The sequence below is a fragment of the Homo sapiens genome, chromosome 19 (assembly GCF_000001405.40).
Source record: "Homo sapiens chromosome 19, GRCh38.p14 Primary Assembly".
Taxonomy (NCBI): Eukaryota; Metazoa; Chordata; class Mammalia; order Primates; family Hominidae; genus Homo; species Homo sapiens.
The window spans coordinates 54615643-54642917 of NC_000019.10; the positions used below are offsets into that span (position 1 = coordinate 54615643).

Consider the following 27275-nt stretch of genomic DNA (forward strand, 5'->3'; position numbering starts at 1 on the left):
CAGAATAGAAAACCCACAAATAAAACCACACACCTACAACTATCTGATCTTTAGGAAACCTGACAAAAAAAAAGTGATGGGGAAAGGATTCCCTATTCAACAAACTGTGCTGGGATAACTGGCTATCCATATGCAGACAATTGAAACTGGACCCCTTCCTTACACCATATACAAAAAAACTAACTCAGGATGGATTGATTGATGGATGTAAAACCTAAAACTATAAAAACCTGGAAGACAACCTAGACAATACATTCAGGACACAGGCACGGGCAAAGATTTTATGACTAAAATGCCAAAAGAAATTGCAACAAAAGCAAAAATTGACAAATGAGATCTAATTAAACCAAAGGGTTTCTGCACTGCAAAAGAAACTGTAAACAGAGTAAACTGACAATCTACAGACTGGGAGAAAGTTTTTGCAAACTGTGCATCTAACAAAGGTCTACTCTCCAGTATCTTTAAGGAACTTAAACCAATTTACAAGAAGAAAACAAACAACCACATTAAAATGTGGGCAAACGACATGAACACACGCTTTTCAAAAGAAGACATACATGTGGCCAACAATCATATAAAAAAAGCTCAACATCACTGATCATGAGAGAAATGCAAATCAAAACCACAATGAGATACCATCTGATACCTGTCAGAATGGCTATTATTAAAAAGTCAAGGGACACATGTTCTCAGGACCTCCTGAGTGCTGATCACTCATATTTGGCTCAGAAAAATCTCTTCTAATATATTACAGAGTTTGACTCTTTTTGTCCACAATAATTTGGTGCCTGAACACGTGAGGCCTCAGATAAGACTCAGGACCCCAAAGGAGTTGTCTCAACCTGGAGCTAAGGTACCAGCAGGGGCCCACTGAAAGCCTCCAGGATTTTGAGCTTCTTCTCTGCCAGAAGTGGTAAGTCCTCCTGAGCCCCGACCTCCCTTTGGTTGACGGCCCTTTATTTATTCTGATCTACTATTTCTTTTTCTTTCTAGGAAGTTGTTGTTTAAGGATCCTACTTCTAGTTGGGAGATACATTCTAAAGGGTCTTCTCCATTGCTTTTCTCCCCAAATTAATCTCGATTTGGCTTGTCTGTTCACATTTGCATGAGGAACTGAACTGTTGTTTTCATAGGGAAACGAGAGACTGTGTTTCCTCAGCTTAAAAAAGAAAGGGCATTTTGCTCCTCCCAGCCAAAATGTGGGAAGTGATGAGGGGTGCTTGTGGGAATGTCTGGGGGTGGATGGACCCCATCGTGATGTGAGTGGCCTACAGGGAACACCCAACAAAATGAGTTTTAAAAAGGCTTGTCCAGGAAGCACATATGGGAGCTGGTCACTCTGCATTTTGGGCCCTCCTGGAGGTGTTTAGACCTTCCGAGAGAGAAACTGAGACACATGAGAGGGAAGAAATGACTCAGTGGTGAGACCCTGTGGAGTCCCACCCACAACCAGCACACTGTGACCCACTGCACAAACCTCTAGCCCACAGCTCACTTCCTCCTTTAAGAAGAGAAGAGAAAAGAGGAGAGGAGAGGAGGAACAGAAAAGAAAAGAAAAGAAAAAGTGGGAAACAAATAATCTAAGAATGAGGAGAAAGCAAGAAGAGTGACCCCCTTGTGGGCACTCCATTGGTTTTATGGCGCCTCTACTTTCTGGAGTTTGTGTAAAACAAAAATATTATGGTCTTTGTGCACATTTACATCAAGGTAAGAGAGCCCTAATGGCGGCTTGCACGCTATAGAGTTCCTAAGTTCTCTCTTTCTCTATTTTCTTTTCTGCCTGCTTTACATCTGCTGTTACCTTTCTACTGAGATAAAAACCACTGTTTAGATCCAAATTTTTTTTGCAAGCTGGTAAATTTATATTAATATCTCATGGCTAGAGTTTTGAAGTAAAAGCTACAGGATGTCTGTGTGTGTGTGTGTGTGTGTGTGTGTGTGTGTGTGGTGTGTGTGTGTTTAAAAGCCTTTATGATAGATTTGTATAATTTTATGTTTAATTGGCAGTGAACCCATTTTAATTTCCCTCTAACACACCAGACTTCTTCCTCTGTACTTTGAGATGTAAGTTTTGCTGATTTTTTCTCCTAAAAAGTGTTTCCTGTAACATGGAAATTTAGGGTTATTTAGCTGACAACTGCCTGGGGTAAGGAAACAGGTTATGAAGAGTTTGAAAGGGTTGGGCGTGGTGGCTCACACTTGTATTCCCAGCACTTTGGGAAGCTGAGGTAGGTGACTCATGTGAGATCAGGAGTTCAAGACCAGCCTGGCCAACATGGTGAATCCCTGTCTCTACTAAAAATGCAAAACTTAGCCAGGCAGTAGTGGCACACTCGTAATCCCAGCTACTTGGGAGACTGAGACAGGAGAATCACTTCAGCATGGGAGATGTAGGTTGCAGTGAGCTGGGATCATGCCACTGCATTCCAGTCTGGGTGACAGAGTGAGCCCCTGCCTCAAAAAAAAAAAAAAAGAAAAAAAGAAAAAAAGAAAAAAAAAGAGTTTGAAAGTTTGAGATAGAAAAAAAAGAGGTTTTTTGAATCTATAAGATGTACTTCTATCAGCATGCCTAATGCGTCCATGAATCTGTGTGTGGTGTACATAATGTTTCACTACTAAAAATATACAAAAGAGCTCTAATTAATTGGCTTAAAGAGAATAAAAGTGCTTAAATCAAATACTTTATCAGGACAAGATGCTTCTTCAAGTTCACTTAAGTAAAATCTTTAATAAATAAGCTGGCTTTAAAATTATTGGTAAAATAAGATTAGAAATGTCTTAAGAATTGTTAGCGTTTTTGTTTGCACTTATTGCACAAGTGGTTTTGTGCTTATCCCTGCAGAATAGTATAAGATTTTCCATAAGGGTTATAAAACTATAAACCTGGCCGGGCACGGTGGCTCACGCCTGTAACCCCAGCACTTTGGGAGGCCGAGGCTGGTGGATCACCTGAGGTTGGGAGTTCAAGAGCAGCCTGACACACACAAAACAAAATTATAAACCCAGCCCAAAACAGAATGATCTTTGCTTGTATAATTTTTAATAAATAAGCCATGTAATATTGTTGGTTAAATAAAAACAGCTAACTACTGAGATATTGGTTAAAAAAAATAACTTTATATTTAACCATAAGTTCCCTTACTTAGGTAAACACCTGAAATTCATAGTTTATAACATTGGTTAACAGGGAATTAACTTTAAGTGATGACTGTCACAGTGTTCATAAATAATCTAGGTAAACTATTAAATAAGTTTATCAAGTAAATGCAATGGAATAAATGCCTATAAACAAACTTGTCACATAATTTACAATCTAAAGTTATATTAAATAATAGATATTAATTGATTAGCTGGGTAATTTATAATTTAAAAATTACAGGAAAACATTTTTAAAAAACAATTCTTATTAAAAGATAAATATCTGTGTTTAATTCAAAGCTTTTTTAAAAGTTATGTATAAAACAAGATAAATGGAAACAGGAAATAAGAGATGTAAAGACAGTTATAAATATAAAGAGGAATTTTGGTAAAAAAGATGAAAAGGAAAGTAATTTTACACAAGAAAGTCTTATGTAGTGAATTTTTGTCCTGAAATAAAATAACTGATAGTTCAAGAAAGAGGGATATTTAGGACAAAACAGGCAGTTTAAGCATGTTGTAAGTGGTCTCTGTAAGTCACAATAAGACTTTTTTTAAAAAAAGAAAGGTAGTGTAATGTAGTTGGTTATGATTAAGAAATATAATAGTCATTCTACAGATGGGTCTTTGATATTTAAAAAACACACCCTAATCCAAAACTAAATAATTGGTTAAAACAAGGTTTTAGTAAAATATTAACTTATTCTTAATGCAAAAAGTTTTTAATTTTTAAATTCTATAATCTGTCTTTTTGAAATTCTTCCAATGAATATATCAAAGTTCAGCTTTTTCTCTTTTGAAAGGCCTTGGATGATAGCTCTCTCCTTCACCTTGTGTTGGCTTCTGTAACTTTTATTAATTATCTAAAGTAAGAGAGGAATTTTTATTTAAAAACAGAAAAATGAAATATCCTTTAGACCTGCTTTTTTTCTTCTGTATGCCTGTTATATCTGTATCTTCATATGTGTTATCTGGAAGTGATATTTCACTACCAAACTACATGAAACAGCTCATCAGTTGTCTTTTTTAAAAAAAAGTAAGTGCTTATCAGATTGGCAGACACTAGCTAAGATGCCTTTGAATTCACCTGATTTTAATATTTAGTAAAATTAATTTAGTAAATTTAATCTTAAAACTCTCTCCAGTAATTAGAGCTATGTTATGTTAAACCTCGTTTTTTTTTTTTCACTTGAAATTTGGGTTACTAAATTAAAATAGTAGGAGTATAAAATGTTTTTGGTGATGCATATAAAACACAAGGATATAGGTTTTGCAAAAAAAAAAGTAGGTTTTTTTCTAGTTAAGAAACTATTTAAGAGTTGCTTTAAAATGAAGAAAAAATTACGGAGATAAAACTAAATAAAAAGAACAATTTAGCCAGGACAACAAAAGTTAACTCTGAGACCTGTGATTACCAAGAAGATAGTTGATATAGAGGAAGGGCAAAAACAAGTAACTATTAAAACCAGAGGGTATAATGCAAAGGAATTGTTCTGCTTTTTAGATTGTTATAATCAGTTTCTTAAAAATAATCTATGTGGTAGATTGTAAAAAATAACCACTTTAAGGGCCAAATTCTTAATTTTTTTTTTGAGATGGAGTCTTGCTCTGTTGCCCAGGCTGGATGGAGTGCAGTGGCGTGATTTCGGCTCACTGCAAGCTCTGCCTCCCAGGTTCACGCCCACATTCTTAATTTTAAATGCTTCAGAATTTAAGAGCTTGTTTGGATTGATGCAGGACCCGTAGCTCACTATTAAACAATCACTAATGAGTATATGAGATCCAAATGCACAGGAGGTTATTCCAGAGAGAACAACCAGCTTAGTGGACCAGACAAACGCCACTGAAAGGTCTGTTGGCCCTGAGAAGGGGACTAGCCAACTCTCCCTATAAAACACCAAGTGCAGCATCCCAGATGAAGCAGTGAATATGCTTTGTATGCGAGCCAGGTGGGGCTGGTGTATGAAGCATATGAACCAAGTAACCATTAAAATCAATCAACCGTTGGTGGACACTTAGTTTGGTTTCATGTCTGTGCTGTTGTGAATAGTGCTGCAACAAACATAATGAGTGCAGTTGTCTTATTTATTTATTTATTTTTTATTTTTTGAGATGGAGTTTCATTCTTGTTGCCCAGGCTGGAGTGCAATGGTGCCATCTCTGCTCACTGCAACCTCCGGCTCCTGGGTTCAAGCGATTCTCCTGCCTTAGCCTCCCAAGTAGCTGGGATTACAGGTGCTCGCCACCATGCCTAGCTAATTTTTTGTATTTTTAGTAGAGACAGGGTTTCACCATGTTGCCCAGGCTGGTCTCACACTCCCAACCTCAGGTGATCTGCCTGTCTTGGCCTCCCAAAGTGCTGGGATTACAGGCGTGAGCCACCACACCTGACCCAATTGTCTTTTTAATATAATGACTTTTCCTTTGGCTGGATACCATGTAATGGGATTGCTAAGTGAAATGGTAGTTCTATTTTTAGTTGAGATAGCTCCATATTATTTTCCATAGAAGATAAACTCATTTACATTCCTACCAACCATGTATCTTGCTAACATCTGTTGGTTCTGACTTCTTAAAAGTAGCCATTTTGACTGGTGTAAGTTGATACTCAGTGTGGTTTTAAGTTGAATTTCTCTGATGATTAATGATGTTGAGCATTTTTTAATGTGTTTGTTGGCCACTTATATTTCTTGTTTTGAGAAATGTCTGTTGATGGTCTTTACTCAGTTTTCCATAAAGTTGTCTGTGTTTTTTGTTTTTTTTTTTTCATGTTGAATTCTTTGACTTCCTTGCAGATTCTGGACATTAGTCTTTTGTTGGAGGCATAATTTGCAAATATTTTCTTCCATTGTGTAGGTTGTCTGTTCATTCTGTTGATTGTTTCTTTTGCTGTGCAGTAGCTTTTAATTTTAATCATGTCTCATTTGTCTATTCGGGGGTTTGTTGCATTTTTAAGGGTCTTTACCATAAGTTCTTTGCCTGGACTAATGTCCAGAAGGGTTTTTCCTAAATTTTGCTTTAGGAATTACATAGTTTCAGGTCTCACATTGAGGTCTTTAATTCATCTTGAGTTGATTTTTGTACATGGTGGGAGATAAAGGTCCAGTTTTATTCTTTTGCATATGGCTACCCAGTTTTTCCAGCATCCTTTATTGAATAGGGTGTCCTTTCCCCATTGTTTACTTTGTTGACTTTAGCAAAGCTCAGTATGTTGTAGGCATGTATCTTTATTTCTAGTTTCTCTATTCTGTTCCCTTGATGTCTGTGTATATTTTTGTACTAGTAAATGCTGTCTTAGTTACTATGGCCTTATAGTATAACTTGAAATCAGGCAATGTGATGCCTCCTGTTTTGTTCTTTTTGCATAGAAGTGTTTTAGCTGTTCAGGCTGGTTTTTGGTTCCAAATGAATTTAAAAATTGCTTTTTCTCTAATTCTGTTAAAGAAATGACATTTGTAATTTAATAGGAATTGTGTTGAATCTGTAGTATGCTTTGGGCAATATGGTCATTTTAACAATATTGATTCTTCCCATTTGTGAGCAAGGAATATTTTTCTATTTGGTTGTGTTGCCTACAGTTCCTTTCATCAGCCTTTTGTCACTCTCTGTGTAGAGGTCTTTCACCTCCTTGGTTAAATATACTCCTCAGTGTGTGTTTGTGTTTGTGTGTCCTTAATTTGATTCTCAGCTTGAACGGTACTGATGTATAGAAAAGCTACTGATTTTTGTAGCTTGATTTTTTTATCCAGAGACTTTACTGAAGTCACTTACCAAGTCTACGAGTCTTCTGGAAGAATCTTCAGGGTTTTCTGGGTATATGATCGTGTCATCAGCACACACAGATAATTTCACTTTCTCTTTTCCAATGTGGATGCACTTTCTTTCTTTCTGTTGCCTGATTGCTCTGGCTAGGACTTCCAGTACTGTGTTGAATAGGAGTGGTGAGAGTGGACATCCTTATCCTGTTCCATTTCTTGGGGAAATGCTTTCACTTCTCCCCATTCAATTTTAAGGTTGGCTGTGCGTTTGTCTTATAAGGCTCTTATTTTGGGGTATGTTTCTTTCATGCCTAGTCTGTTGAGGGATTTTATCATGAAGGGATATTGGACTTTCTCGAACGCTTTATCTGCATCTATTGAGATGACCATATGCTTTTTGTTCTTAGTTTATGTCATGAGTCACTTTTATTGACTTGCATATATTGAACCATCCTTTCATCCCTGGAATCAAGCCAACTTGATCATGATGAATTATGTTTTTGATACACTGTTAGATTCCGTTTAATAGCATTTTCTTGAGGATTTTTGCACCTGTGTTCCTCAGGTTTCTTGGCCTGTAGCTTTATTTTTCTGTTGGATCCCTGTCTGATTTTGCTATCAGGGTGATATTGGTTTCATAGAATGAGCTAGGAAAGAATCCCATCGCCTTGATTTTTTGGAATACTTTCATTATGATTGGCACCAGCTCTTCGTTGTGTATATGGCAAATTTCGACTGTGAATCCATCTGTTCTTGGGCTTTTTTGCCGGAAGATTTTTAGTACTGATTCTTTTTGGTTACTTGTTATTGGTCTGTTTAGGGTTTCTATTTTTTGCCTGTGCGATCTTAGGAAGTTGTATGTGTCTAGGAATTCATCCATTTCTCTAGGTTTTCTAGTTTACGTGCATAAAGGTGTTCATAGTAGTCTCTGATGGTCATTTGTATTTCTGTGGCGTTGGTTGTAATGTCAACTTTATCATTTCTGATTGTGCTTATTTAAATCTTCTCCTTTTTTTGGTTAGTGTAGTCAGCCATCTCTCAATTTTATTTATACTTTCAAAAAACCAACGTTTTCTTTCACTGATTCTTTGTAATGTTTTTGTCTCAATCTCATTCTTTATCTGTCCTTTCAGAGTTTCCATTGTTTTCAGCATCCATCACTAGCAAGCCAGTGCGATCCTTTGGTGGTGCCACAATATTCAGATTTTTCACAGCGTCAGAATCCTTACACTGATTCCTTCTCTTCTGGAGAGGCCTCCACTTACTCTCTTCGAATTTATTTTCATTTGGATGGGATTTGTTTTGCACATTTTCCCCCGGCCCCGCAGGGAGGGTGACTGTAGAGCATGTTGGGAAGGGTCTTTTGGCTTTTCCCATGGCTTTGGGAGCTTCTGCAGCAGGGTTTGTGTTGGGCTGTGCAGCTCAAATTGCAGGCCAGGAGCTGGTGCTTAAGGGTAAGAGCCACCCTCGGCACAAGCAGGTGGATATGGACCTGGTGTGTTTCCTGTGAGGTGCTGACTGTTGTTTCAGGGGAAGGGCTGGACCGTGGAGTGTCAGGTGCCCTGAGCTTTGTGTTCCACAGGGGCGAGGGAACACCCCTGGGCAGAGCTGGAACCCCCGGCTTGCCCACAGATATCCCAGTGATGAGTGCAGGCACTAGTCCTGATGGACATGGCTGGAGCAGCTCCTAGTGAAATGCCCTGAGGTCTCTGCGGGGGGTGAAGGAGCTACACCGTTTCCAGTCCCATAGGGAGGAACGTTGTCTGTCTCCCTATCACACCCGTGCTCCAGGGCTCATGAGTCTCAGTTCAGACACACACTTTTGTCTCTCCCCAGGCCACAGTGTGGCTGAGGGCCGTGGGAAACACCTGCCTTGCCACTCTCTGCAGGCGTGGTTCCAAGGCAGAGCCTCCTCCCTCAGCCCAGTGCAGACCCTGAGCGGCTGTCTGTTGTCTGACGTGGTAGCTGCTTCATGTAGGTGGGATGTGGGGCTTCTGCCTCTCTGGATGGGAGAGTGGACGTCAGTTGTGGTGGTGTTGCTGGCTGGGTGGGCCCGACCTCAGGCCCTGGGGTGAGTGGTCAGGTGCCAGCAGGGTAGGAAAGGGCAGGTAGTTCCCGGATCACAGGCCCCTAGGTGGCCGGCTGGACAGCGTGTGTGAGTCCTGAAGGGGCTGGACTGGGTTTTGGCTGCTCCGGGGTTCAGATGCTGGCTGTGATGGGGAGGGATGGGCTGGTCCCCAGGGCACAGGCAGAACCCTCAGGCGGGGCAGGCAGAAGGCTCAGGTGGTAGAGCCTGCGGCAGATCACAGACCTGTGGGGACTGGGCTCTCAGAAGGGCTGGGGGCTGCAGCTGAAATGTCCAGGTGGGGGCAGGGTGGCTGTGCTGTGGGCCTGTCACTAGGGAGGGCAGGGCCCCTCTGCTGGGGCACTGGAGACTGGCAGCTGTGAGGCACAGGGCCCGCTCACACTTCCCTCCTGAAGAAGTGTCACTCGGTTTTGCTCTGGGGACACGTGAAAGTGCCAGGCCTCCCCACACCCTCCCTGGGCCTGGGGCAGCAGGGACAGAGGCAGAGGTGGCAGTGACTGCAAAGGGCTTGTCAGGGGCCTCTGAGCATTGGACTTTCAGAGGGCACTGAGCCAGGGCCACGGTGTTCGGGTGGGGGCAGGACGGGTGACTGGGGCCCTGCAGCTGGCAAGCCCCATTAGCAGGAAGGAAGCCCCATTTCGCAGGAAGCAACAGAGGTGGGCAGCTGTGTGGTGCTCAGCTTGGCTGCTCCTGTGCCCCAGCTGTCATACTTATTCTGGGGCCCACAGAGGTGCCTGGCCTCCTCCCTCCCTGCTAAGGCAGTGGCAGCTGGACCCAGGCTGCTCAGGGATCAGAAGCCTGTGGGATTCCACGTGGGCTCCAGAGGCGCCTCTGCACCATCTCTGGGAACTCCCTGTGCCTCTGTAGGCCAAGGGGGGTCAGGGGCTCTCCTGTGACCAGGATTGTAAAGGGCCAAGACAGGGGTGTGGATCCCAGGGGCCTCACACCCACTCAATCTTTCCCTTTGTTAAGGAGCCTCTCACTCACTCACCCCTTCCCCGTGTTAGGGAGCCTCGCACTCACTCACCCCTTCCCCGTGTTAGGGACCCTCTCACTCACCCCTTCCCCGTGTTAGGGAGCCTCGCACTCACTCACCCCTTCCCCGGGTTAGGGAGCCTCGCACTCACTCACCCCTTCCCCATGTTAGGGAATCTCTCACTCACTCACCCCTTCCCCGTGTTAGGGACCCTCTCACTCACTCACCCCTTCCCCGTGTTAGGGACTCTTTCATTCACTCACCCCTTCCCCATGTTAGGAGCCTCTCACTCACTCACCCCTTCCCCGTGTTAGAGAATCTCTCACTCACTCACCCCTTCCCCGTGTTAGAGAATCTCTCACTCACTCACCCCTTCCCCGTGTTAGGAGCCTCTCCTGGCTCCCACCTTTTCTCTTCTCTTCTTTCCATGTCCTCATGTTTCTCAGGTGAACCCCAGCATCCTCTTGGAAGATCCACTTGACCTGTTGGTATTTACTCACTATTTTGGGTCCTCTTAGTGAGTAGGCAGACTCCAGCCCTTTCCATTCAGCCAACTTGAACCTCAGCCCACAATCATTTTCTTGTCACTTTTTACTCTTGGGAAATCCGGTCCCAATGTGCTTGTCTTTCATTTGAGAATAATTTTCATTTTCTCCAGTAGTTTTAAAATTACTTTGTATCTATTCTAGGTATCTTTTACTCTATCATAGTTAAGACATTGATGTTATTTATTAATTTGTTCACATTAAACTCATGTTCTTTCTTCATTTCTGTAAAAATGTCAACCATTTTCTTTGCAATATTTACTGAATAACGTACTCCTTATTTCCTTCATTCTGAAAGTGTGATCCATAGAGAGATACCTGTTTCCTCTTCTCATTCCATTTCTTGTGTGCATTAATTATGTTTTCTACTTTATTCATTTCTAGTTTTTCTCTGATGACTAATGAAAAATTTAATAGATATTCCACACCAATACTATGCTCATCATTTCAGCTGTGTCTTGTTCTTGATGCAATTATTTCTAAATGTGTTGATATGATTTACTATTTTTCACCTCACAGTAGCTTCCTAATTCATTTCTATAATTGCCTGTTTTTTCTGTAATGGACTTTTTGATTTTTATTTCTCTTGGGTGGGTTTTTCTCCCACACATGTGATCTTCCATACAGTTTCTCCCCGGGCTGACTCAGGAAGGAAAGCTGATGAGGAGCATTGCTGTGGTCACTCCTGCCCTGCGGTGTCCATGCTGCCAAGCTTAGAATCAGCTCTGTGTTCTGTCCGGCATGGTGGGGCCCATGTGAGCCTCACACTCACGTGCTAGAGATGCCTGGTCCAGCAGTGATAAAGCGCATCTGTGTCATGCACACCCGGGAAGGTGGCTCAATGCTGAGTGTGGCCCGGGTCACTGAGGGGAGCTATCCCAGGGTCTGTCCACAAACACAGAAGAGGGAGAACAACAGTCTCTCTAGGGTCCCACGGTTTCCTCCATTTTTTGCTTTGTTCTGAGAGAGAGACAAAGTGCCATGGCTGCTCTGTGGGTTGGACAGATGCATGCTTTCACCTGCAGGCTGGAACCCAAGCTGAGGTCTTCAGCATCCCCAAGTACTGATAAAGCACTTTAGGTTGTTTTTAGAAAACACTGAAAAATTAACCCTTTTGCTAAAGAGGTAGAAACAAGCCCTCCCCTCAACGAAATTCCTGAAACTCTCAGGTTAAACTTCGTAACCCAATCCCTTCACTGCAGACACCCAATAGGAAAGTCACATGTGCAAGGATGAGATGACTTTGGTCAAGCTCAGACCCCACAGGGCCAGGAAGGCCTGAAGGAGAGGAGGCCCATGCTTCCAGCTCTCAGATAAGAGCTGCTTCTAAGGACTTTTTAAAAACCCCACAAGAAACCCTTCCATGTCCTTCACCCCCTCCTGCTTTGACGAGGTTTATCACTAGATATTCTTTAGGATGTCAGGAATTCAGATAAGATGCTCTCGAGAAAAAACTTGCCCAGCAACGGCATCTCCTCCAATGGACTGACAGCAACTCTGGCTTTGAACCTCTGGAATCAGGGAACTCTGTTTCTAAGCAGCTCTGTCAGCCTCTCTCTTGTTGCTGATAAGAACTTCCTTTACTTCTGTATGTCAGAGAGCTCTCTCTATGGTGCTTTTCCTCTACTCTCACACCACAGGAATCATCCTCACAGAAGAAGACTTCTAGGACCAGATGTGTGGGATTTTTTTTCCTAGACCCAGTAGCGGACGCCAGCTGAGTGTTTAAATGCTTCTTCCCCAGTGCCGTAAACAAATAGCACTTGAACATAAATTTAATTTACTCAGCAAGACCATTTTTATTTTCTGCAGCAAGGGTACACTCACCAGCAGTTTTGCTTCGAGAGTACACAAAACAAAAGAGACAGGGTCATTTATAACCTGACACGTCCACCCTACTGCTCTGTCCGGTTTCCACTGGCTGGAACAGGACCTCACACTCTGTATTTGTCCCGATTGGCTAGTAACTTAGAACTTCTGAAAAGAGGCAAAGGTAGAGCAGAACAAAGGAAGGAGGAAGTAACTTGTGGAATGCTGAGAAAGGTGAAAACACCTTCAAATAAGGAAGAGGAACAGGCTATGACCTAATGCTTGCTTGGACCAGTATAAGCATGCCAGGGCAAATATTTAGGCTAAATTGTGGGAGCTAATAACATAAAGTACATTGATTTATTTATCACGGCTAGCAGATATTTGAGAATGTTAGCATAGCTCTGACACTGTCTACCCAGAGACAGTCCCAGATCCCACAGATTGAATGGTTCAGTCCCCAACACTGCCCCCACACCATTCCCAAGTCCAGACCTCCAGAACTTCTGACTGACTGGCTTCAAGTTGGGGACCCTATGACCACCTCTTTGGGTTTGATTAATTTGCTGTAGCAGCTCACAGAACTCAGAGAGACACTGACGTTTCCTGGTTGAATACAAAGCACACTGCAGAGGACACAGATGAAGAGACTCATAGGAGGAGGCATGGGGGAAGGGGCGCAGGGCTTCCATACCCTCCCTGGGCATCACCCTCCAGGAGTCTCCACATGCTCAACCACCCAGAAACCCACGAAACCCAGTCTTCTTGGGTTTTTATGAAGCTTCATGATGTCAGTATTTCCTCCCACAAGGAACAGGCTGAGACCATCTTCTGGGAGGGTCTTAAGAGCCACCATCAGAAAGGCAGGGACATTAGAGTCTTGCCTTGGGCAGGTGAAGGAAGGGCAGGAGGAGGTCAGAGGCCTCCCCTAAGGCCTAACACAGCCAATGTTATAACAAAAGACTGTAACAAGGGCTATGGAGCTATGAGCCAGGAACCGCAGGTGAAAACCAGTGTGTATCACAACATCACACTTCCCTCTCCGGACACACTGTGGCTTGCCATGCCATGCACTCCAGATTGTAATCCTTGCTTCTCACTCCCAAATAAACTCAAAATCCAGACAACCCTGGAGCAACGCAGCCTTGAATTCCTGGGGTCTCTTATATGCACACTTTTTTCAACCAAACGGGGGTCAAAACTGTAGCATTTGTGGGATGCAAGACTTGTGTATATGAACGGCAGACTTTTCCTATATGCAGGCCCAGCAGAGACAATGTCGGGGCTGGAGTACGAGCAGGTGTTGGTGCATGTAGCGGGTACTGAAACGAATTGCCTGTGTATCCCAAGAAACAACTCTACTGAGAGATCATATTCTCTAGGGGTTTATTTTTGTTTTTATTTTTATTTTAAGTTAAAGCTTCGGGTAGAACACCCAGTGTCTCCTTGTCCATCTGAAGAAGATGCTGCTATGTGGAAGCACATCCTTGAGATCCACAAGGAGACACTGGGCAAGGAGACGAGGGTGCCCCACTGTGCAGAAGTCTCCCTAATAAATGATCTATGAACACCCTGGTGTTTAGTGCTTCTTTCTTTGGAATCCCAGCAGCTCTGTCACTGGACGGTTTGGTGCACTCCCTTGAGGGAATTCCCCTGGGCTGCTTGGGGTCCACTCCAGCCTCAGGTGTAGCTGGAGGACGCAGCCTCCCACCTTGGTCTGGAGCCCTGAGCCCCTCACTGTCATTGCAGATCCCGAGGTTCCTCTCCTGGCTCCACTCAGTGGTGGAAACCTCCACCCTAATGAGCCCTTGATGGTCCCAGGTCCCTGTGGCATCTCACCTGTGGCCTCTGTTCTTTCCTGTGGATCCATCTACACTTGGGAACTTCCACATCTCTTTTTCTGCTCATGACATTGATGCTCTGGGTATTTCAGAAATGCCCAGATAGATGGACAAATACACGTCCATCTATCCATTAGGGTCAGATGTGAGATCCAGAGTGGACACATCAATCACCTACGTAGACTGTGGAGTCCAACGCCAAGATCCTCTTATGTCCCAAACACCTCAGGTCTTACCCTGGTCTGGAAATCAGGCACAAATGAGCCCCTCCTAATGTTCCAGCACCACTGACCGTACAACCACTGTCACGAGTGGGATTTGTGACAACAGTCGGCAAAGGAAGAATCTGAGGCTCAGAGATGGTTCATTACCGCCCGAGGTCACGTAGGCAGTGGATGATAACCAGTCGTTGAATAAATATAACTCCCCCCCAACTCCCCAAATCAAAGCTCAAATATAAGTCATTGTTCCCAAAGCGTTGAACAGGGATTGAGGTGCAGAGGGACGGCCAAGTAAGCAAAGGGCACCGAGGAGGCAGGAAAGACTCAGAGATTTGTTCCCGGGGGGTGGGGTTGGACACTGTAGCAAAATATTTTAAAAAGGGGAAGTTAAGAGGGGACTATTTGGTTGAAAGAAAACCCACAATCCAGTGTCAAGAAAGAAGTCAACTTTTCTTCCCTATTTCCCTGCATTTCTCTTCTGTGCTCACTGCCACACGCAGCTCAGCCTGGGCGGCACAGCCAGATGCGAGATGCGTCTCTGCTGATCTGAGTCTGCCTGCAGCATGGACCTGGGTCTTCCCTGAAGCATCTCCAGGGCTGGAGGGACGACTGCCATGGTAAGGACCCCACAACACTGAGCTGATGGACGGCTGAAGGAGGGAGGGTGACCATGTGGGAGGCTGTGAGAAGGAAGGAGATGCCTCCGCTACCCTCGTCAGGAAGGGCAGACACAGGAAGGAACCAGTTTTATTTGCTGCTACATCCTGGCTCTCAGTGGGATGAAAACAAACCAGACAGACGGTGGCTGGGGGTCAGGAAAGGGCCCATTACCATCTGAAATGATGCAGAGGGCCTAGTGACTGCCCCCACCTCAGCCCTAATGGAATGAGAGCAAGGGTCCTGGGGAGGGCAGTTCCACTTCCTGTGTGGCTGCAGATGACAGCACCCCATGAGAAGAAGGACCCAGCCTCCGATTGGCCACACTCTGTGTGTCTCTCTATCCTGCCAGCACCGAGGGCTCATCCATCCACAGAGCAGGGCAGTGGGAGGAGACGCCATGACCCCCATCCTCACGGTCCTGATCTGTCTCGGTGAGATTTGAAGAAGGAGGGGAGCTTCTAACCTAAGAGGGACCTCACCCCACAGCCAAACTCTTGTCCCTAAGGAGACCCCAGGGGCTCACAAAGATCCCAGGGAGGGGAGGACCTGCCCAGGCTTCAGGGGGCAAATCCCTCACCGGGAACTCTCTTCCAGGGCTGAGTCTGGGCCCCCGGACCCACGTGCAGGCAGGTGAGTCTGTCCCCAGCTCTTCCAGGTCCCTCCTCCTCACTGGGGACAAGGGGCCACCCCCGTGCCGCTGGGGATGGGGAATAGCAGTTCTGGGCTGACTGATGGGGGCGTCTGGAGGGTCCTGGGCTGAGAGCTGGAATCTGCTGGGTTGGGTGGGAAATGAGTTAGAATCTGACTCCTGATTTCCTTCCAGGGCACCTCCCCAAGCCCACCCTCTGGGCTGAACCAGGCTCTGTGATCACCCAGGGGAGTCCTGTGACCCTCAGGTGTCAGGGGGGCCAGGAGACCCAGGAGTACCGTCTATATAGAGAAAAGAAAACAGCACCCTGGATTACACGGATCCCACAGGAGCTTGTGAAGAAGGGCCAGTTCCCCATCCCATCCATCACCTGGGAACACACAGGGCGGTATCGCTGTTACTATGGTAGCGACACTGCAGGCCGCTCAGAGAGCAGTGACCCCCTGGAGCTGGTGGTGACAGGTGAGCTGACACTCAGGGGTCCCAGCCCCAGACTCTGCCCTCAGGAAGGGGGACGGCTCTCAGGGGCTTCTCCCTCTCACAGCCCAGCCCTGGGGATGACGCGGGTGGTCTGAGCCACATTTAACACGGTGCCTCCTTCTCTCCTAGGAGCCTACATCAAACCCACCCTCTCAGCCCAGCCCAGCCCCGTGGTGAACTCAGGAGGGAATGTAACCCTCCAGTGTGACTCACAGGTGGCATTTGATGGCTTCATTCTGTGTAAGGAAGGAGAAGATGAACACCCACAATGCCTGAACTCCCAGCCCCATGCCCGTGGGTCGTCCCGCGCCATCTTCTCCGTGGGCCCCGTGAGCCCGAGTCGCAGGTGGTGGTACAGGTGCTATGCTTATGACTCGAACTCTCCCTATGAGTGGTCTCTACCCAGTGATCTCCTGGAGCTCCTGGTCCTAGGTGAGAAATTCACAGCATTGCCTGGAGTTCCCTGAGTCTCCAGGCAGGTGGGGAGCAGCCGCGTCTCAGGGCAGTTCCAGGTGGGATGATGTTGGGGCGAGAGGGCTCAGGGCTCCTGGGGCCAGAGACACAGGAAGATCAGCAGTGATGTGGCCCCGGGGGAAAGGGAAGATTTGTGGGGAAGCCTGAGGGTCGGCTCCTGGAAACCATGACCACCTTTTCCCAGGTGTTTCTAAGAAGCCATCACTCTCAGTGCAGCCAGGTCCTATCGTGGCCCCTGAGGAGACCCTGACTCTGCAGTGTGGCTCTGATGCTGGCTACAACAGATTTGTTCTGTATAAGGACGGGGAACGTGACTTCCTTCAGCTCGCTGGCGCACAGCCCCAGGCTGGGCTCTCCCAGGCCAACTTCACCCTGGGCCCTGTGAGCCGCTCCTACGGGGGCCAGTACAGATGCTACGGTGCACACAACCTCTCCTCCGAGTGGTCGGCCCCCAGCGACCCCCTGGACATCCTGATCGCAGGTGAGGAGCCCAGCGGGTTCAGTCAGGGACCCAGGCTCCGCACAGGCCCTGCCGGGGGAGCTCAGGTAGTGATGGCCGGGATGAGGGATGGGGGTCCCAAGGGAGGGAGAGACAGACAGAGACAGGGGATGGGCGGGGAGGGGGAGACTCAGAGAAAACAGAGACAGAGACACTGAGGGTCCCAGAGGGAGACCTGGGGAGGTGTCAGCTCAGAGCAAGGTGGGGCAGCCCCTCGCCCATCCTTCTTCTCTCCAGGACAGTTCTATGACAGAGTCTCCCTCTCGGTGCAGCCGGGCCCCACGGTGGCCTCAGGAGAGAACGTGACCCTGCTGTGTCAGTCACAGGGATGGATGCAAACTTTCCTTCTGACCAAGGAGGGGGCAGCTGATGACCCATGGCGTCTAAGATCAACGTACCAATCTCAAAAATACCAGGCTGAATTCCCCATGGGTCCTGTGACCTCAGCCCATGCGGGGACCTACAGGTGCTACGGCTCACAGAGCTCCAAACCCTACCTGCTGACTCACCCCAGTGACCCCCTGGAGCTCGTGGTCTCAGGTGGGGGCCTTGACCCTGTCCTCTCTGAGCTCAAAGTCTCAGCTCAGACCCTGCCCCAGGAGAGCTCTGGGCTGGGATGGAGTGAGCGGGGGTCTGAGAGGGGCTCAGCCAGTGGGAGACTCACCCTCAGAGGGAAGGAGGAGAACAGGGCCCTCCCAGGCCTGCCCACCCTCAGTGGCATCGCCAGCATCATGGACAGGAGAGGCGGGTGGAGGGAGGGGCCTGGGGAGGCCACAGGTCCCATGTAGAGAAATTTGGTTTGAGGTGGAGACTTCAGGAAAGCCCCAGCTCCTCAGCCTCCTCTCATTCTTTTACCCAGGACCGTCTGGGGGCCCCAGCTCCCCGACAACAGGCCCCACCTCCACATCTGGTGAGTCCCTGAGGCTTCTGAACTCAAGGGAGTGCGGCCTCCCCCAGGGCAGCCCTGGGTCTCCCAGAGAATCCCATTCCCCTCAAAGACTCGAGCTTCCCTCCAGGGAGCCGGGCAGAGCCAGAGGAGGGGCCACAGGGTCCCCAGGGCTCTGAGGCTGGGCTGGTGAGGGGTGGGGGGTCAAGGCAGAGAGAAATGTTGGGGCCCAGCCTGGGGGAGGAGCAGCCGGGCTGATGTGGGGAGCAGGGCAGCCCCAGCCCTCACCTCCCCGTCCTGACCCAGCAGGCCCTGAGGACCAGCCCCTCACCCCCACCGGGTCGGATCCCCAGAGTGGTGAGTGACGGGCTCTGAGTGGGAGGTGGGCAGGGTCCAGGGGAGGCAGGGGTGGGTTCTGTCCTAGGTTCAGTCTCCTCTGGAGGTGGTGATATAGACAGGCTCCTCCCCTGCTTGGGCCTCAGTTTCTCCAAATGTAAAGGTGAGAGGCCTGCGGGTGGGAAAGTTCCTTTCAGCTCTGACTCCCAGCTGTGACCTCCTGGGAGAGGAGGCCTCCCAGGGAACCTCCCAGACCCGATTCCGCGGGGGCCTGTCCCGTCCCACCTGCAGCAGAGACGGTGACCTGGGGCAGGGGAGGGGAGAAGAGTCATGGTTCAGGACGGTCAGGCTCTTTCCCTGCAGCTCCGGGGCTCGGCTCTGGTGCAGGAACAAGGGCTGCAGGTCAGACTCCTGGGCTTCCTTCCCAGCTCTGCCGCTTCCTGGCTGGGGGCCCCGGGCAGGCGATTCCCCTCTCTGAGCGTCAGTTTTTCATCTGTACAGTGGGTGGGGTGGATGTTTCTGTGCTGCACGACTGTTGTGGGGGTTGGAGGTGGTGAACAGAAGGTCCAGCAGTCACCTGCACACAGTAGGCGCTCATTTCAATGACATCACCCCCATCCCTGACATCATCGTGCTCAAGGTCTGGGAAGGCACCTGGGGGTTGTGATCGGCATCTTGGTGGCCGTCATCCTACTGCTCCTCCTCCTCCTCCTCCTCTTCCTCATCCTCCGACATCGACGTCAGGGCAAACACTGGACATCGAGTGAGTAGGGAATGGGGGGACCCTGAGGGCTGACCGAGGGTGGGCTCAGGGCACAGCCAAAGAGAATCCAAACCACTGGGCAAATGCAGCTTTGAGAAACTGTTCCAGCATTTCTCACCAGGCCAATCGACAGTCAGTCCCATCTACAAATGTAAAGTGTCCTTCGGGCTCAGTGCCATCTACAAATGTAAAGTGTCCTTCGGGCTCTGTCCATCCTATGAGGCATTTGGAACATGGAGGCAGGAGTGTTTTTAGGTTTCCTTCCTTACCTTCGAGCTGTGTGTGCAGGGCAGGGGGCTCCAATGTTCCCAGGGCTGAGGCTCTGTCCTTCTTCCCCCAGCCCAGAGAAAGGCTGATTTCCAACATCCTGCAGGGGCTGTGGGGCCAGAGCCCACAGACAGAGGCCTGCAGTGGAGGTAATTCTGCCCGAAGACCCCAGACTCCCACCTGCTCGTGGCCCATACACTGCCCCTAAAGCTCCCATTCTTCCCCCAGGTCCAGCCCAGCTGCCGATGCCCAGGAAGAAAACCTCTGTGAGTGAGAGGAAGAGGTGACCAGCCAGGAGGGAGATGGGGGCCCCGAAGTTTCCGTAGCAATGGGGAAAGGGGCGCTGGCTGGAAAGGGTCTGGGGCTCAGGGTGAGATCATCTCACCCCACACTGTGGGGCCTCAGGGACATCGCAGCCCCTCCCTGCATCTCAGTGGCCCCATCTGGGAGCTGAGCAGGGGCTGGCAGGACTCAGAGGTCCCAGGGAACCTTCCCAAGAGACAAACCCCTTGCTCTGCCCCAGCAGATGCTGCCGTGAAGCACACACAGCCTGAGGATGGGGTGGAGATGGACACTCGGGTGAGACCCCACCCCTGTCCCAGGCACCAAAGGCCTCCTGGTGCCAGATCTAATCCTGCAGAACTTCTCTGTCCTCCTTCCCCCGGCTCTCAGCATCGTCACGGTGGACCCCTCCTTGTCCAGCACGCTGCCTCCCGCCTGCTGCGACCTCACTCTCTCCTGCTGTCCTGGGACCTCGTGGGCCTCCTCCCGGGTCCCCTTCCTGCTCCTCATCCTCTGTTTGGCCGTCTGGTTGTTAGAGCTCTCCCCAGGCCTCAGGAGGATGAGGAATAAATGAACCACCCCGGTCCCCCAGGCTCCCCTTCATTCATTCAACCAGCAAGTGTTCCCAGGGAGCTCACTGTGGATGGGGCTCCCCATGGGAGCTGCAGACACAGCAGGGAGGAAAGCCGCCCCCGCCTCCTGAGCTCACCTCGTGGTGGGAGACAAAATGCAAATAAATGTGCCGCCTCCAGGAGTGCAACGTGCTGTAAGGAACATAAACCAGAGAAAGGGCAGAGAGTGTGGGGCAGTGGGGCCAGTCTGAATGGAAGGGGAGGGCTGTCTGCTCAGCTGTCATCTGAGAAGCCTGGACAGAGTGGGGCACACGATCCTCTGATGGACGAGCCCCTGCAGGCAGAGGAAACAACCCTGCAAAGGCCCCCAGGCAGCAGCGAGCTCTTGCAGGAAGGCCCGTGAGGCTGCAGCCAAATGGGCAACGTCAGAGTGAGGAGCAGAGGCCAGAACCACAGCGAGGGAGCGGCCAGACCCTCCACGGCCTTAGGGCGTCCCTGAGATTCCATCGGGAAAGGGATGTAATCGGATCACCCGGGGAACAGTGAGGAAAATTGACTCCAGGGGGTCAGGAGGATTCAAGGACACCCCCCACCACTGTCTCTCTCCAGCAGAGCCCACACGATGAAGACCCCCAGGCAGTGACGTATGCCGAGGTGAAACACTCCAGACCTAGGAGAGAAATGGCCTCTCCTCCTTCCCCACTGTCTGGGGAATTCCTGGACACAAAGGACAGACAGGCGGAAGAGGACAGGCAGATGGACACTGAGGTGAGTCCTTTCCTCTCCAGGCCCCCAGGCCTCCCCCACCCCCACCACGTTCCTTCCCTCTCACTCTCCCCCGCTGCAGGCTGCTGCATCTGAAGCCCCCCAGGATGTGACCTACGCCCAGCTGCACAGCTTGACCCTCAGACGGGAGGCAACTGAGCCTCCTCCATCCCAGGAAGGGCCCTCTCCAGCTGTGCCCAGCATCTACGCCACTCTGGCCATCCACTAGCCCAGGGGGGGACGCAGACCCCACACTCCATGGAGTCTGGAATGCATGGGAGCTGCCCCCCCAGTGGACACCATTGGACCCCACCCAGCCTGGATCTACCCCAGGAGACTCTGGGAACTTTTAGGGGTCACTCAATTCTGCAGTATAAATAACTAATGTCTCTACAATTTTGAAATAAAGCAACAGACTTCTCAATAATCAATGAAGTAGCTGAGAAAACTAAGTCAGAAAGTGCATTAAACTGAATCACAATGTAAATATTACACATCAAGCGATGAAACTGGAAAACTACAAGCCACGAATGAATGAATTAGGAAAGAAAAAAAGTAGGAAATGAATGATCTTGGCTTTCCTATAAGAAATTTAGGGCAGGGCACGGTGGCTCACGCCTGTAATTCCAGCACTTTGGGAGGCCGAGGCGGGCAGATCACGAGTTCAGGAGATCGAGACCATCTTGGCCAACATGGTGAAACCCTGTCTCTCCTAAAAATACAAAAATTAGCTGGATGTGGTGGCAGTGCCTGTAATCCCAGCTATTTGGGAGGCTGAGGCAGGAGAATCGCTTGAACCAGGGAGTCAGAGGTTTCAGTGAGCCAAGATCGCACCACTGCTCTCCAGCCTGGCGACAGAGGGAGACTCCATCTCAAATTAAAAAAAAAAAAAAAAAAGAAAGAAAAAGAGAAAAAAGAAATTTAGAAGAATAACAAGTTATTCCAAATGAAGGCGTAAGAAAGGGAATAATAACAATAATAAGAGGAGTTGTTCATGAGGAAAAACCAAAGCTTGAAAATTCAACAAAGCCAGTGAAGCTCATTCTTGAAAACATGAATCACACTCATGAATTCTAACTACAATGAAAAAGAGAAAGAAAGAGCAGGCATGCATTTCCATATGGGAGTGAGCCAGCAGACAGCCCTACAGATCGTACACACGTTTTCCAAAACTAACAATGGAACAGGCGGCAAACCTATGCCAATATACTAGAAATTGCAGATTAAATAGATGAAATATTCTAAACTGGAGTTTACATAATGAACATAAGAGTAATCAGAGAATCTGACTCATTTTAGATGTGTGTGTGTGTGTATATATATGTGTGTGTGTGTGAAAAACATTGACTATAATAAAAATAATCTCGAGTTCACGAAGCTTCATTGGTGATTTCTTACAAATATTGACACACTAATGAAACACACAAACACACCCAGAGCATCACAAATGTTTCTTGAGAATAGAAAAAGTGGCAATGTGCCCAGGTGCGGTGGCTCACGCCTGTAATCTCAACACATAGGGTGGCAGAGGCGGCAGATTACTTGAGGCTGGGAGTTCAAGACCAGCCTGGCCAACACGGCAAAACCCCATCTCTACTAAAAATACAAAAATTAGTCGGACATGGTGGCGCACACTGCAGTCCCAGCTACTTGGGAGGCAGAGGCAGGAGAATCACTTGATCCCAGGAGATGGAGGCTGCAGTGAGCTGAGATCCCGCCCCTGCGCTCCAGCCTGGTCAACAGAGCCAGACTCTGTCTCAAAAAATTAAAAAAAAAAAAAGTCATGACATATAAAATAGAATTTTCCATTCTATAACAGGCATATTTTAAACTCTACAGTTTTTCTGTTTCAAAATAATATTTTTTTAAATTTTATTTTAATGTTTTACTTTATTTTATTTGGCAGTTTAAAATTCTACATATTTAGGATGTGCAACATGGTATTTTAATATGCCTGTGAAATCGCTAGGTCAAGCTAATTAACATCTGTAACATCACGTAGTTATCTTTCTGTTAAGAGAACATTTAAAATCCACTTTCTTACCAATTTTCGCGTATGCAATCCATTGTTAGCAACTGTAGTCACCATACTGTACAACAGATCTCCTAAACTTACTCCTCCTGTCCAACTGAAGTGCGGTATCCTTCGATGCAGCTCTCTGATTCCACCCCAGCCCAGCTCCCGGGGACCACCTTCTACTCTCTACTTCCATGAGTTCAACTGGGGCAATCCGCACATAAGTGAGATCAGGCAGCAGGTGTCTTCCCGTGCCTTCTTTATTCCGCGTAGCGTGACGTCCTCTAGGCTCGTCCATGTTGTCACAAATGAAACAATTTCCTTCTTCTAGAAGGCGGAATAGTTTTTCGCTGTGTTTATACTGAGCGCTTCATTTTCTGTATCCATTCGCCTGCTGATGGACGCTTGGCCGGGTTCCATGTCTTGGTTATGGTGGCTAAAGCTGTCATGAACATGGGAGGGCGGGCATCTCTTCAACGTACTGATTCCATTTCCTTTAGATACACACCCAGCAGTGAAATTGTTGAAACACAGGGTAGCTCTGATCATTAACTTCTGAAAAACATCTATAGTATTTTTGTGGTCATTGTACTCATTTACATTACCACTAGCGGAGGGCAGCGGTTCTATTTTTTCTACATTCTCGCTAACACTTGTTATTCTACTCTTTTTCATAGTAACCATCCTAACAGATGTGAGGTTATAGCTTCTTAAAGTTTATATGTATGTAAGTATATGCCTATATGTATATATGCAAATGTATGTATTCATACATAAACATCCATACGTACATATGTGCAGATACGTATGTACATATATATGCATGTGTATTGTATGTATATATGTATACACAGGTATACACATATATGTGTAGAAAGTGAAATTTTGCAGTGAGATATCACCTCACAGCTGTTAGATTGCCTATTATCAGAATGGTGAAAGATCAGTGTTGGTGAGCATGAGGAGAAAAAATCCTTACACACCATTGGTGGACATGTAAATTAACACAGCCATTTTAGAAAACAGTATGGAAGCTCCTCAAAAAACTAAACATGCCACCACCATATAATCCAGCAAGCCCACTGCTGGGTGTATACCAGAAGAAATGAAATCGGCCACAGAAGAGACGTCCACACTCCTAAGCTCATTGCAGCACTATTCACAATTGCCAAGTTACAAAAACAATTCTATATTTTTGAAAAAGGATTCATTTCTCCTGTCCCTGTAGAGAAAACGGGCTCAAATTACACATTAGCTGAGCTCTGAGTACTCACTCATGTGTGTATCTATGAGGGTGCATGTTCGTGTGTGTTTCAGTATGTGGTTTTTCCATTCTGTGTACTCACCCATGTCTGTAACTATGAGGGTGCATGTTCACGTGTGTGTGTGTGTGTTTCAGTGTGTGGTTTTTCCCATTTTTCCTCCCTTGAGGATATCGCATTGTATGTTTTGGATTCTTTGATCTTCCAATTAAATTACATCATTTAGAATTGCTTTCACTAAGTGTGAAACAATAAAAATTTTTTTTAATTGTGGCTCTGGAAATACCTTCCTTTCCCTTTCACTCTGTATCAAGATTTGTAAATTTTTTAAAATTTTTGTTGTTATTTTAAGTTCTGGGGCACATGTGCAGGATCTGCAGGTTTGTTACACAGGTAAACATGTGCCATGGTGGTTTGCTGCACCTGTCAACCCATCACCTAGGTATTAAGCCCAGCATGCATTGGCTGTTGTTCCTAATCCTCTCCCTGTCCCAACTCACCCTCCTCCAACAGGTCCCAGTGTGTGCTGTCCCCCTCCCTGTGTTCATGTGATCTCACTGTTCAGCTCCCACTTATAAGTGAGAACATGCAGTGTTTGGTTTTCTGTTCCTGCATTGGTTTGCTGAGGATAATGGCTTCCAGCTCCATCCATGTCCCTGCCAAGGACATGATATTGTTCCTTTTTATGGATGCATAGTATTCCATGGTGTATATGTATCACATTTTCTTTATCCAGTCTATCATTGATGGGCATTTGGGTTGATTCCAGGTCTTTGCTACTATGAATAGTGTTGCAAAAAACATATGCATGCATGTATCTTTGTAATAGAATGATTTATATTCCTTTGGGTATATACCCAGGGATTGCTGAGTCAAATGGTATTTCTGGTTCTAGATCTTTGAGGAATCACCACACCATCTTCCACAATGGTTGAACTAATTACATTCCCACTAACAGTGTAAAAGCATTTCTATTTCTCTGCAACCTCACCGGCATCTGTTTCTCCTTGACTTTTTGATAATCGCAATTCCAACTGGTGTGAGATGGTATCCCATTGAGGTTTTGACTTGCATTTCTCTAATGACCAGTGATGTTGAGCTTTGTTCCATGTTTCCTGGCCACATGAATGTCTTCTTTTGACAAGTGTCTGCTCATGCCTTTTGCCCACTTATTAATGTTTTATTCCTGTAAATTTGTTTAAGTTCCTTGTGGATTCTGGATGTTAGACCTTTGTCAGATGGACAGATTGCAAAAATTGTCTCCCATTCTGTAGCTTGTCTGTTCGCTCTGATAATGGTTTCTCTTGCTGTGCAGACGCTCTTTAGTTTAATTTGATCCCATTTGTCAATTTTAGCTTTTGTTGCAATTGCTTTTGGTGATTTCGTCATGAAGTCTTTGCCCATCTTTGTCCTGAATTATATTAAATAAAGTCTTTGTCCTGAATTATATTAAATAAAGCATAAGGGAAAAGATGTAGAAGGGAAAGTACATGTAATGGTTAAGGCGTCTACTGCCAATCCCTCCCCGTTCCTCAAGATGAAGCCTGACATGCTGGGTTTAATGTGTGAGACAAGCTGCCGACAGGTCGTTTGCCTTTGTCTTTAATAATTTAGATTAACACAGAAATCTTCACCATGAATTTCTGAAGGCCTTTCTTTAGTATCTCCTGGTGTTGAATTTGCTGTTGGAAGGTCCAATCCCAGTGAGCATGCAAATCCATTGGAAATAATTTGCATTTTTACAAATAAATAATTTTAGGATTTTTTTTTTGTTTCCAGGACAGACTTCCTTGTATTTTTTTAATGAGTTAAAAATTATATAATATAAAAATAACATTTAAAAACCCACAATTCAGGCCGGGCACGGTGGCTCATGCCTGTAATCCCAGCACTTTGGGAAGCCGAGACGGGCGGATCACTTGAGGTCAGGAGTTTGAGACCAGCCTGGTCAACATGGCAAAACCCCGTCTTTACTAAAAATACAAAAATTAGCCAGGCATGGTGTCAAGCACCTGTAATCCCAGCTACTCGGGAGGCTGAGACAGGAGAATTGCTTGAACCTGGGAGGCAGAGGTTGCAGTGAGCAGAGATTGTGCCACTACACTCCAGCCTGAGTGACAGAGCAAGACTCTGTCTCACACAAAAACAAAAACAAAAGCAAAAACAACCCCTCACAATTCAGCCTAGGATATGTTTATTAAATTTACATTTGTCTTTTTGCTTAAGATTGCTTTGGTATTCGTCCTCTTTTTGGTTCCATATGAATTTTAGGATTGTTTTTTCTAATTCTGTGAAAAAAATGATGTTGATATTTTGATGGGAATTGCATTGAATCTAAATATTGCTTTGGGAAGTGTGATCATTTTCACAATATTGATTCTTCCAATCCATGAGCATGGGATATATTTCTATTTTGCTGTGTCATCTACAATTTCTTTCAGCAGCATTTTGTTGTTCTTCTTGTAGAGATCTTTCACCTCCTCGGCTAGGTATATACTTAGATATTTTTAATTTTTGCAACTGATGTACAAGGGATTGAGTTTTGCAGCAACCTGGATGAGCTGGAGGCCATTATTCATGACACCACATCCAGCTAATTTTTGTATTTTTTGTAGAGATGCGGTTTTGCCATGTTGCCCAGGCTGGTCTTGAACTCCTGGGCCCAAGTGACCCGCCCGCCTTGACCTCCCAAAGTGCTGGGACTGCAGGCATGAGCCACGGTGCCCGGCCTATCATAGCACTTTTGATCATTGGGATAATTCCTCCTCCTTGTCATTTTTGGACACATGCTTCCCACATGCCTCATCTTCCAGAGAGGGTTTCCACCAGGGCTGTGCTGGGAGTTAAGGCTGGAAAAGGGGAGATGGTTCCAGCTGCCAGTGCCACATGAGTCTACTCAGGGCTGTAACCAGCAGGGAAGGTCCAGTGTGAGCCTCAGACTCGCATGTGGGACAGACGCCCATGTGTGACAACGCTGCAGTGAATCTGT

At 46.8% G+C, this 27275-nt stretch overlaps 1 protein-coding gene across 22 annotated transcripts; it reads left to right on the top strand.

Annotated features, from left to right (window-relative positions):
* Positions 1 to 679: 679 nt before the first annotated feature.
* Positions 680 to 22380, top strand: LILRB1 (leukocyte immunoglobulin like receptor B1). Of its 22 annotated transcripts, none has more exons than XM_047438080.1 (17): positions 680 to 913; positions 994 to 1707; positions 14875 to 14991; positions 15311 to 15465; positions 15629 to 15664; positions 15858 to 16145; positions 16293 to 16595; positions 16822 to 17118; positions 17374 to 17676; positions 17996 to 18046; positions 18329 to 18379; positions 18999 to 19121; positions 19462 to 19537; positions 19617 to 19654; positions 19915 to 19967; positions 20852 to 21010; positions 21090 to 22380. In XM_047438080.1, the coding sequence occupies exons 4-17, from the start codon at positions 15324 to 15326 to the stop codon at positions 21234 to 21236; spliced, it is 2067 nt and encodes a 688-aa protein (XP_047294036.1). In that variant the 5' UTR covers positions 680 to 913; positions 994 to 1707; positions 14875 to 14991; positions 15311 to 15323; the 3' UTR covers positions 21237 to 22380. The 22 variants fall into 22 exon arrangements, 21 of the variants coding, with proteins under 21 accessions (XP_047294036.1, XP_047294037.1, XP_047294038.1 ...); XM_047438081.1 differs by having other exon boundaries at positions 20855 to 21010; XM_047438082.1 differs by having other exon boundaries at positions 18332 to 18379.
* The last annotated feature ends 4895 nt before the right edge of the window (positions 22381 to 27275 follow it).

What these genes read in the sequence shown, in the direction of transcription:
- LILRB1 (XM_047438080.1), top strand. Translation starts at nt 15,324, where the DNA reads ATGAGAAGAAGGACCCAGCCTCCGATTGGCCACACTCTGTGTGTCTCT. An exon ending in CCTGGAGCTCCTGGTCCTAG is followed by an intron (nt 16,596 to 16,821) that starts GTGAGAAATTCA and finishes ACCTTTTCCCAG; the next exon opens with GTGTTTCTAAGAAGCCATCA. An exon ending in ACAGGCAGATGGACACTGAG is followed by an intron (nt 21,011 to 21,089) that starts GTGAGTCCTTTC and finishes CCCCCGCTGCAG; the next exon opens with GCTGCTGCATCTGAAGCCCC.